Raw genomic sequence first — 12240 nt, 5'->3', positions numbered from 1 at the left:
ATAGTTCTTTGAGACATCTCCAAACTGCTTTCCATAGTGGCTGAACTAATTTACATTCCTACCAACAGTGGATAAGCATTCCCTTTTCTTCACAACCTTGCCAACATCTGTTATTTTTTGACTTTTTAATAATATCCATTCTAACTGGTGGTGAGATGGGTTTGTGGTTTTGATTTACATTGTGGTTTTGGTTTGCATTTCTCTAATGATCAGTGATGTTGAACATTTTTTCATACATTTATTGGACACATGTATGTCGATCCAACAATCCCAATACTGGGTATAAACCCAAAGGAAAATAAAACCATTCTACCAAAAGTACAAGAGCACTCATATTAATCACAGCACTATCCAAAATAGCAAAGACATCACATCAACTTAGATGCTCATAAATGGTGGACTGGATAAAGAAAATGTGGTACGTAATATATCATGGAATACTAGCAGCCAAAAAAACAACGAAAAAAAAACACAATGAAATCCTGTCTTTTGCAGCAACATGGATACAGCTGGAGGCCATTATCCTCATCGAATTAACACGAACAGAGGCCCAACGCAATGGCTCACGCCTGTAATCCTAGCACTTGGGAGGCCAAGGCAAGTGGATCACCTGAGGTCAGGAGTTTGAAACCAGCCTGGCCAACATGGTGAAACCCTGTCTCTACTAAAAATAGAAAAAAATTAGCCAGATGTGGTGGCGAGCACCTGTAATCCCATCTACTCAGGAGGCTGAGGCAGGAGAATTGCTTGAACCCGGAAGGCAGAGAGGTTGCAGTGAGCCGAGATCGTGCCACTGCACTCTGGCCTAAAAAAAACAGCAACAGAAAACCAAAGACGGCATGTTCTCATTTACGAGTGGAAACTAAACACTGAGTACACGTGGACATAACGATGAGAACAACAGACATTGGAGACTATTAGACAGGGAAGGATGGGAAAGAGTGAGGGTTGAAAAACTGCCTATCAGGTACTATGTTTACTACCAGGGTGACGGGATCATTTGTATACCAAACCTCAACAACAAGCAATTTATCCATGTAACCAACATGCACACGTACTCTGTGAAAATAAAAGTTGAAAACAAAACAAAACAAACAAACACAGGCCAGGGCCAGGTGCAGTGGCTCCATCCCTGTAATCCCTGCACTTTTGAGAGGACAAGGTGCGGATCACCTGAGGTCAGGAGTTCGAGACCAGTCAGGCCAACATGGCAACACCCGTCTCTACTAAAAATACATAAATTAGTTGGGCATGGTGGCAGGTGCCTGTAATCCCAGCTACTAGGGAGGCTGAGGCAGGAGAATTCCTTGAACCTGGAGGGCAGAAGCTGCAATGAGCCAAGGTCACACCACTTCACTCCAGCCTGGGTGACAGAGCAAGACTCCGTCTCAAAAAAAAAAAAAAAAAAAAAAAACCAGGCCGGGTATGATGGCTGACATCTGTAATTCTAGCACTTTGGGAGACTAAAGCAGGTGATCACTTGAGGTCAGGAGTTTGAAAATTAGCTAGGAGGTTGGTGGGAGCGGGCCCCTGTAATCCCAGCTACTGGGGAGGCTGAGACAAGAGGACTGCTTGAACCCAGGAGGCACGGAGGCTGCAGTGAGCCGAGATCAGGTCACTGCACTCCAGCCTGGGCAACAGAATGAGACCCTGCCTCAAAAAAGAAAGAAAAGAAAGGAAAGAAAGAGAGAGAGAGAAACGGGCACGGTGGCTCATCCTGTAATCCCAGCACTTTGGGAGGCCGAGGCCAGCAGATCATTTCAGGTCAGGAGTTCAAGACCAGGCTGGCCAACATAGTGAAATGCCGTCTCCACTAGAAATACAAAAATCAGCAGGGCCTAGTGGTGCACACCTGTAATCCCAGCTACTCGGGAGGCTGAGGCAGGAGAATCACTTGAACCTGGGAGGTAGACACTGGAGCGAGCCAAGGTTGTGCCACTGCACTCCAGCCTGGGTGAGAGAGCGAGACTCTGTCATTCATTCATTCATGCACAAATAAATGTCCTCATCACACCTCCATCCTCCCCAATGCAATCTCCCTCCCAACTCCACCACCTCGTGGCTCACTGCAACCTCCACCTCCCGGGTTCAAGTGATTCTCCTGTCTCAGCCTCCCAAGGAGCTGGGATTGCAGGCGCGTGCCACCATGCCCAGCTAATTTTTGTATTTTTAGTACAGTCAGGGTTTTGCCATGTTTTATATTTTTGTAGAGCCAGGGTTTCGCCTGACTTGCCAGGCTGATCTCAAACTCCTGACCTCAAGTGATCTGCCTGTAAACAGAATATTTTTGTTTCTTTTTTTGTTTTAAGGCGGAGTTTCACTCACCACCCAGGCTGGAGTGCAATGGCGCGATCTCGGCTCACTGCAACCTCCGCCTCCGAGTTCAAGTGATCCTCCTGCCTCAGCCTCCCGAGTAGCTGGGATTACAAGAGCCCACCACCACACCTGGCTAACTTTTGTGTTTTTAGTAGAAATGGGGTTTTGCCATGGTGGCCAGGCTGGTCTCGAACTCCTGACCTCAGGTGACCCACTCACCTCGGCCTCCCAAAGTGCTGGGATTACAGGCGTGAGTCACCACACCCAGCCTCAACTGAACATTTTGCTCCTCCCTGTTTTCTGTTACGTATTGTGAACTTTAAAAATGAAAAACTCGCATAACGTTCTCAACGTTTTTAAACTCAAATTCTTCGCAGGGCACAGTGGCTCAAACCTGTAATCCCAGCACTTTGAGAGGCCAAGGCAAAAGGATTGCTTGAGTTCAGGCGCTCAGATCAGCCTGGGCAATAACCTTGTCTCTACAAAACATCAAAAAATTAGCTGGGCGAGGTGGCGAGTACTTGAGTCCCAGCTACTTGGGAAGCAAAAGTGGGAGGATGGCTTGAGCCCAGGAGAGTCGAGGCTACTATGTTCACTACTGCACTCCAGACTGGGTGACAGAGTGAGACCCTATCTCAAAATAAATAAAATAATTACAAATATATAATAAATATTATAAATATAAAAGTAAATAGCAACTGAGAGACTTTTGGCTGACCATATCAAAGGAATTCTTTTTTTTCTTTTTTTTCTGAGACAAGAGTCTTGCTCTGTCGCCCAAGCTTGGAGTGCAGTGACGCAATCTCGGCTCACTGCAACCTCCGCCTCCAGGGTTCAAGCGATTCTACTGTCTCTTCTGTCTCCCGAATAGCTGAGATTAAGGCACACGCCACCACAGCTAACCTTTTTATTTTTAGTAGAGACGGGGTTTCACCAGCCTGTTGGCCAGGCCTGGTCTCGAATTCCTGACCACAACTGGTCCGCCCACCTCGGTCCTCCAAAGTGTTGGGATTACAGGCATGAGTCACCACGCCCGGCTAAAAGGACTTCTTAATTAGAGCTGCCTGCAATGGGAAATCCGACTGGACAGGAGGTATTAAGGTCCCTAAAACTGCAGACGTTCAATGGGAAGTCTGATTGTAAACATGCATGCTGTTTAAAGGATTCATGCATCCTGAAGATGGACTTTGTAAAGATCTCCAATGGCCTGTCACTTCCCAACAGTCCATTTTCTTCTTAAAAATATCACCGAGGCCAGGTGGGTGGCTCACACCTGTAATCCCAGCACTGTGGGAGGCCGAGGCGGGAGGATCACGAGGTCAAGAAATCAAGACCATCCTAGCCAACATGGTGAAACCCCGTCTCTACTGAAAATACAAAAATTAGCTGGGCGTGGTGGCACGCGCCTGTAGTTCCAGCTACTCGGGAGGCTGAGGAAGGAGAATCGCTTGAACCCGGGAGGTGGAGGTTGCAGTGAGCCGAGATCGCGCCGCTGCACTCCAGCCTGGCGACAGGGCGAGACTCCGTCTCGAAGAAAAAAAAATTTTTTTAAGTGATCTGTTTCCTGGAATCCAACCCCAAACAATCCACGTTCCTCAGCATAAGCCTACTGGTGTGATTCCCGTTACATGAGCTCGGAATGCTATCTGCCAACAAATGAGAGCACCAAACATCCCAATTTAAGAAGCTTTTCTTCACACCTTACCAAGCTATGTGAAACTGGCAAGGGTGATTACTGTCCTTGTTTTTCAGGTATGGGATTCAGGCTCAGAGGTTGGTCACTTTCTCAAGCGGGTCACAAACTCGAACCCTGAACCATCATTTCTAAAAGTCGCGCTTTTACTTAGGGAGAGACGGCCTGCAGCTTCCCTCCCTACTCTGCGGCTCCCCAGACGAAAGTTACCTTCCTCTGCCTTCACAAGCTCCTTCACATCCTCCTTCCCTATGAGCCCAGGCAGGGCAATTCAACCTCCGTTCCCCGCCACGAAAACGCTCCCAGCCGCCTAGCTAGTCAGACGGCCTGCCCCACCTCTGCGCCTCACAGACTTCCACACGCGGACTCACCGGCGCCGCTAGAAGGACTCTCAGCCGGAAACTCAGCCCGACACTCCTCTCCGCCGCTTTAGGGGCGCCCCGGAAGTCATTCCGCCGCGCCCTGCGGCCACGCCGAAACGTTCCGGATGCTGCAGAGTGCAGCTGCCGGAGCGGGGCGCTCAGGTGCAGGGCATGGCCTCCGCTGAGTTGGGGCGCGGAAAGGGACGGTGTTCCAGCTGGAATTCGCAGAGAACCGGAAAGAGTGATCGCCATTCGCTCTCGGAAGGTCGAAGGCTCTGCAGCCATCGACCTGGGTTCTGAGGAGCTCGATCTTGTCTTTCTACTTCTAAAAGGTTGGGATGAAGGACCCTGGCCACAGAAGTAAAGCCAGAATTATCCTTGCTTCTTGCTGTGTATTTCAGGACTCCTCCATTGCTCTTGCTGTTCATTCAACAAACATTGAGCATCTACTTTGAGCCTGATGCATGTCTAAGCACTGAGGAAATAACAATGAAAAACTGACAAAAATCCTTGCTCTCGTGGAGTTTTCCTTCTCCAAGGGGAGTCAGTATGAAGAAAAACATATACTATATGAAATGGTGATAATGCTGTGGAGAAAAACTAAGCACTGAAGGGGAGAAGTTTGCAGTTTAAAATAGGGTGGCCAGGCCGGGTGCGATGGTTCACGCCTGTAATCCCAGGCATGGTGATTTGGGAGGCCGAGCGGGGGTGGATCATCGGAGGGCAGGACTTCGAGACCAGCCTGGCCAACATAGTGAATTCCGTCTCTACTAAAAATACAAAAACATTAGCCGGGCGTGCTGGCAGGCGCCTGTAATCCCAGCTACTCGGGAGGCTGAGGCAGGAGAATCGCTTGAATCCAGGAGGCACAGGTTGCAGTGAGCCAACCTTGCACTCCAGCCTGGGTGACAGAGACTTCATCTCAAAAAATAAAATAGGGTGGCCAGAGGAGTCCTCGCTGGGAAGACAGTTAAGCCATGACCTGAATGAGGAAGGGTGTTAACCCTGCTGATACCTAGGGGAAAAGCTCTTCAGACAAAGAGAGCTGCAAGTGCAAAGGCCCTGAGGTAGAAGTGCATTGGGGTCTTTGACGACTGCAGGAGTGAGCAGGGGATGAGTGGTGGAAGCTGCAATCAGAAGGGTAAGGTGGGGAGGAGAGGCTGTGAGCACTGTTAAGAACTTTGGGGGAATTGTGATGGCTTGGACCAGCAGCTGGTGAGAAGTGACTGAATTCTAAATCTTACCAATACACTGGATGTGTGTTATGAGAAAAGAATCAAGGATACCTCCATAGTCTTTAGCTGAGCAACTGAAAGGTTGGGGTTGCAATTATTAAAATGTTGGCGGGGTGGGTAAGATCAATTCAGTTTTGGACAAGTTGTATGACTGCCAATTAACACAAGTGGAATTACTGGCATTTCCCATACTTGAGAAATGGAGAGGCAGTGCACCCCCAGATGAGAAAAGGGTTAGGAATAACACAAAGGAACTGCAGAAGCTAGGGCCTCTTTCCTTCCCCATCAGCATACTCATCCCCTCCATTGCCTTTATTTTATTGTTAAAAATTTTTCCCATCTCTGTTGTCTCCCTCAAAAATATAAACAGAAGGTATCTTGCATAGCAGTGGAAAGAACAGCCCTGGATTTAAAATCAGGCTCTGACACACTGGCTGGGTGACCTCAAGCAAGTCACAACCCAAGTCTATGAACTAATGTGTAAAATGGGGTTGTCTCCACCAACCCTGCAGGGCTTAGTGGGAACTCCATAATCAGTCTCATTTCCTCCCAGAAGACAGGATTTTAAAAGGGAGAGGAGGGGAAATTAGTATCGCAGTGCCAGGAAGCTTCCATGCTTGCCTCCCTCCCACCTTTGACCTCATTAGAGGACTCACACACAAATTCCACACTTTTCCTTTTGTGCCCTTCCTTCCTATCCACACTTTTGCTTCCTTCCATCTTAATTGACCATCCTATTTGCAAGACGGGATGCATTCCTCTAGGACAAACAGCCTAGAGGAATCCCAAGCCCCAAGTTTCTTGCATATGTTTGTTATCCATCAGCCTGGGAAGGCTTTAAGGAAAACCAGGAAAAAGATAGAGGACTCCCCAATAAATATAAAGCATATTTGCGAAGAGAGGAGACTGAAACAGTTTTCCCAACTGTAATATTTGTTCTGTATAGATTTTAGACATGGATGTTAAGATTCAACTAGGAATGGTACTACAGCAAAACAAAATATGCATAAATCCATAATCTCTTGGCATGATTATGACTGACATATTCTAATCATTTACAAAGTGGTAGAATAAATTATCTAACCTACTCAGATGTTTTTTCAACTTGTAAAACTAAAAGACAACTATAAAGAATGGATAATCTGTTCTTTGCCCATGAGTGGCCAGACACAATCAACAGGGTTAGGACATTCACAATCAGCTCAGCCAGTGGAATCAGATATAAAAAGCATGCAACTTGAAAGACTGGGAGAAGTGAACCTGTCTATTCCAATAGACAGGCTCCCTTACAGGGAAACTAAATCATTCCAGAAAGCCTCATCTAAAACCTCTGTAATTGACAACAGTATCTAACAATTGTGATCTTGATAAGTAAACTATTTGCTCTAACCTAAAGAAGCATTTGTTTATCATGTACAAATATTTAGAATGCCAATCCTGCATTCTCTGCCTAGAATTCAAAAGAATTTACATTCTAAGGCTGCACCCAGCACAGATCAATCATATGGGATTGGATGACACATGCACTTTTAAAAAACACAATTTGCTTTTAGAAAACTTGTTAAAGTTTCACCTTCTGGCTTTGGAAGATGGGGGTAGCTAGGCATATTTACTTTTAGACAAGGACTGAGTCACACATTAACTACCTTCTTAACTATGAGATTATTACAAATATATTTTACAAATACAAAAAACTGAAGTACAGAGAGGCTAAGTTAATTTCTCCAAGGTCCCACAGCAAGTAACTGCAGAAGGGCAAAGCAAAAATAGGACAACACATGTAGGCAATACCAAGCAGTTCTTGTGGCAGCAATTGGAAACCTTTTGGAGACACCATTCTGCATTTCGTTGTAGTCATACACAAAACCCTAGTTATGTATCCATGCTTCTTTCTCATAATGCCAAAGTGGCACTATTCTAATTTACTAACAAGGTTTTCTAAAAACTACCCAAATTATTGAGGTGTTTTTGCTCACTTCTTCCCATTAGAATAAATGTAGACAATAAGAAACGCATGAGGGATGACATAGTCCTCCATCAAATCTGTCCTTTCACACAAGAGATGGCATGGTGTAGTGTAGCAGAATCATGAGCTGCCAGGAAATTATGAATTCTGATTCCTCCAGCTGAGTCTTTGAAAAAGTCCAGATGAGAAACACTTCCATCCTGATGCTGAAGCAAGGAGAATGTCCTTGTGTGAGGAATTCTCACAACACCAACTGAAGCTAAGGTCCCCGGAGCCATGATAAAAGCACTTTTCTGCCCTGATTCTTCTTTACACACATGTACCCATTCAGGTCTTTACAGATATTTCACAGGAAGCATTTATGTTACAAGTACTTAAAATGCACTCGAAATTAATATAGGATACTTTATTTACATCAGAGTGATCTCACATTATCCAATCCATTAACAAAGTCAACACAGGATGGAAGTATAGAATCTAACAGTTGAAGAGACTAAGATCCTAATCCCTTGTTTTGCCACTTGCTAGTGTGACAACAGCCAGTTAATCTATCATATCATTAGTTCCTTGTCTATAAAAGAAGAATAAGAAATGGTCACATGTCAAAAGATCGTTGTGAGGATTAAATATCATATATGTACTTATGTGTATGTAACTTATTTACTATAAATACTAGTTGACTTCACTTTATTTCAAAAAATATAAAGCACATATGACAAAACATTAACACATGTTATTTCTGGGCGGATGGTACTTATATTTTATACTTTTCTGTATTTAAATTTTTCAAAATAAAATAATGATCCTATATACTTTTAATACAAAATCACATATGTAGGGCATCACTTTATACGCAGGGAATCTTTACAAAATGAACTATGTGCTATCACAACAAACTCCTTAGAACAATAGTTTATAACAAAGCAGAATTCCAGACAAGAACTACAGGTCAGAAATGGAAGGGATGTCGGAAATCTAATCTAAACCTCTGACTTTCTAGACTAGGAAGCTGCTTGAGTGGCTTTTCAAATTTACATCCAGCTAGTTAATGCCAACGCCAACAGAAACACCCTGATCCTAGTTTCCTAAAACGGTATTTAGTATAAATACACATGAAAATTTTTCTTATTTTTGAAATTTCAAAGTCCAATTTTATAACACAATTTTACAATGCAAATTCTTGCTGTTTCACTTTCTGGATTCAGCTGAATAGTTTTGTGAAAATACTGACAAACTTGCCTTCACGAACTGACTTCCAAGAACAAATTGTTAAAACTTTAACAGAAAAATCAGTTAAAGGTGCTCATCAAGAGAATCCTTTTCATTTGGTATAAATCCAAAACTATGAAAATACCTTTTGTATTATGTGCATGCAGAAAATTAAGAATTTATTCAATTTGCAGAAATAAATCAGTGATATAATGGAAACATTTAAAATTTTATCTCTGGAAAATAATTCAAAATCATCTATCAAAAATTATAGGCCGGGCACAGTGGCTCACGCCTCTAATCCCAGCACTTTGGGAGGCCGAGGTGGATGGATCACCTGAGGTCAGGAGTTCGAGACCAGCCTGACCAACATGGAGAAACCCCATCTCTACTAAAAATACAAAAAAAAAATTAGCCAGGTGTGGTGGCGCATGCCTGTAATCCCAGCTACTCGGGAGGCCGAGGCAGGAGAATTGTTTGAACCTGGGAGGCGGAGGTTGTGGTGAGCTGAGATCGCGACATTGCACTCCAGCCTGTTCAACAAGAGCAAAACTCCATCTCAAAAAAAAAAAAAAAAAAATACACACACACACACACACACACACTTAGGCCAGGCATGGTGGCTCACGCCTGTAATCCCAGCACTTTGGGAGGCCGAGGCAGGCAGACCACAAGGTCAGGAGTTCAAGACCAACCTGGCCACTATGGTAAAACCCCGTCTCTATTAAAAATACAAAAATTAGCCACGCATGGTGATGGGCACCTGTAGTCTCAACTACTCGAGAGGCTGAGGCAGGAGAATTGCTTGAACCCGGGAGGTGGAGGTTGCAGTGAGCCAAGATAGCACCACTGCATTCCAGCCTGGGTGAGAGTGAGACTCTGTCTCAAAAAAAAAAAAAAATTATATACCTAAATATCTGAAATGCATACTAAAGTTCAGTTTATAGATTATTCTAAAAAAAAGTTTTTAGAAAAGTCTAAGCTGGGATGATCACAATCAACTTGGTCAGCACAGTGCTATCAACTAATTTTACTAATAAGAATCTGAATTTTTAAAAAAGTGATACAATTTAAGGGCACCATTTGAAATTATTTGGTATTTCGTGGTATAGCATTCTATTCCCAGACATATCAGCATTCTTACAGCCAAAGGAATGGGAAACGACTAACCAGCACAGCATCCAAAGGAGTATAAACAACAACAGATACAACTCCTGAGTGTGGTTTTCCATTGCTGTATGTTAACAGCACTAATAACATCAAACAGGTTATTATGGAAAGAAAACACCAGGTTTAATACCTTATAAAATATGTATAGAAATTGAACATTCCTGTAAGATACAGTTCAAGTCACAATTGAATTATAAATGTAATCAGATATTCTGATATAATGAAAAGTTCTAGTTGGTTTTTTAAAAAAGGCATGCAAAAAGATAAAAAGTATTTAAAAACACACAAAATTCTAACCACGGGGTTTAAACTTTGATCTTAAAAAAGTAAATATATATTTACAATCTTTAAATTTCACACATTTGTTACTTTTACATGATCTTTATTATTTAAGAAAAACCTCTTTTAACCATTTATATAACAGAAAAAAAATAGGGAGGCTGGTAGATCATCACATATATAGTAGCTAAAATATGAAAGGCCAGGGAATTTATTATTAATGAAGTCATAAAACAGACTTAACCAAAAGTGTGTGCTAGGAAACAAGCAGTTTCACTTCAGAGACTTCATTGCAGGAACCCAGTTTCCTTATGTGGAAAAAAGTGATTATAAATAACAGTTATCTGAAAGGTGGTTGAGAGGATTAAATGAGATCACCTATGCAAACAAATACATGTAGGTATGAAGACATCGTCTGGGGTGTGAAAGTTTAGTTCACACCAGAACCTTCCTTTAAGGCTTAAAAACCTCAAACAGTATTTCATTCTTAATACAAGAACCAATGTTTAAAGCATAAAATCCTTAATTGGAGTGTTCAGCCCAGTTGATTATCAAAAGCGATTTATAAAATGCTTCAATACTGATGATGTTAAAGCAACCAAAACTTTGTGATGCTCACAGAGGTTTGGCTTCCGGGGTTATGGTCCAAAGTCATTTGCCTTCTGAGAAGATTGCAGAGATGTCAGATACTTAATTTCTCAAACAACTTGGCATCAGCCTTCTATGTTTTCTGTCTATCATAGTCTCCAACCATCTTCTTGATGTGTGACAATTTGCTCTTTAACTGCTTGCAATGATTCTTCTTACTTTTGTAATCTGCAGACTAAAAAGGGAGAAAATGAATCACATAAATTCAACAAAATGAAAACAGGTCTGCTGGGAAGGCAGAATTGAACACAGAAATGGAATATTTAGTCAAGAGAATTGCTGGGAGTGTTAATTGAAGTAAAATACGCAAGGTGCCTGGCAGTATCACTAACCACACAGGCAGCTGATTCTATTTGCTCAGTTCTGTCTTCTAACCTGGGTTTTTCCAAAGGATACCCTCATTTCTAAAAATCTGTAAAATGACCAAGAAAACTTACCAGCCTTTTTGCTAACACATCATCTAAAACTGTAAGTAAAACAAGAGACTGGTGATCTCATTTGACTGGGGAAAGGGAAGCTGAATAGGGGATAAGAGAGATGGGAAATTTTACTGTATACCCTTTAAACTCTTATTTCAAATCATGATGCCTGTAATTTATAATTTTTTTTTCTTATTTTAGAAAGGGTCTCATCCTATTGCCCAGGCTGGAGTGAAGTGGTACAATTATAGCTCCCTGCAGCTTTGAACTCCTGGGTTCAAGGGATCCTTTTGCCTCAGTCTCCCTAGTAGCTAGGACTACAGGCATGTAACCACAGCACCTGGATAAGTAATTTACAAAAATTTTAATATAATTTTTTTTTAATGTTTTAAGTCAATAATGACTGTCATGCCAAGTGTTAGCAAGGATATAGGGCAACAGGAGTCTGTAGTGGTTGGTGGGAATGTAAACTGGTACAAGTACTTTGGAAGGCCATTTGACAGTATCTACTAAGGCTGGATAGACAAATGCCCATCACTTCTACGCTCAAACATTTACAAATATGTATGAAGCTGCAATATTTTTAAATGCCAAAAATTGGGAACAACCCAAACGTTCATTGACAATAGAATGGATGAATAAAGTTGCATTTTATATACAACACTACAAAGCAATAAAAATTAATCAACCGGCCAGGCGTGGTGGCTCACGCCTGTAATCCCAGCACTTTCGGAGGCGGAGGCAGGTGGATCACTTGAGGCCAGGAATTTGAGACCTGCCTGGCCAACATGGTAAAACCCCATCTCTACTAAAAATAGGAAAATTAGCCAGGTGTGGTGGTGCTTGCCTGTAATCCCAGTGGCTCGGGAGGCTGAGGCAGGAGAATTGCTTGAACCCAGGAGGCAGAGGTTGCAGTGAGCCGAGATTGTGCCACTGCACTCCA

The 12240-nt window shown here is 42.9% G+C and overlaps 2 protein-coding genes across 22 annotated transcripts in view; both read right to left on the bottom strand.

The window, feature by feature from the left end:
* Positions 1-4432, bottom strand: part of GTF2H2C (GTF2H2 family member C) — a 35031-nt gene extending 30599 nt beyond the window's left edge. For 5 of the 15 annotated variants that reach the window (NR_164749.1, NR_164750.1, XM_011543615.2 and 2 more), the window contains exon 1: positions 4220-4432. The gene's annotated coding sequence lies outside the window, so the exon portion shown is untranslated. Of the gene's footprint in view, positions 1-1852; positions 1951-4021 lie in introns of all 15 variants that reach the window. The other 10 variants (NR_164751.1, NM_001376000.2, NM_001376006.1 and 7 more) reach the window with 5 other exon arrangements.
* The window catches only part of OCLN (occludin), a 65558-nt gene continuing 59836 nt past the window's right edge, over positions 6519-12240 (bottom strand). For all 7 annotated transcript variants that reach the window (NM_001438604.1, NM_002538.4, NM_001410743.1 and 4 more), the window contains one exon: positions 6519-11053. In NM_001438604.1, the coding sequence (NP_001425533.1) occupies positions 10952-11053 (102 nt within the window). In that variant the 3' untranslated portion in view covers positions 6519-10951. The remainder of the gene's footprint in view (positions 11054-12240) is intronic.

This window comes from Homo sapiens, chromosome 5, assembly GCF_000001405.40.
Source record: "Homo sapiens chromosome 5, GRCh38.p14 Primary Assembly".
NCBI classification, from domain to species: Eukaryota; Metazoa; Chordata; class Mammalia; order Primates; family Hominidae; genus Homo; species Homo sapiens.
The sequence above is the reverse complement of the archived record's forward strand: the minus strand, read 5'-3'. Positions and strand labels throughout refer to the sequence as shown.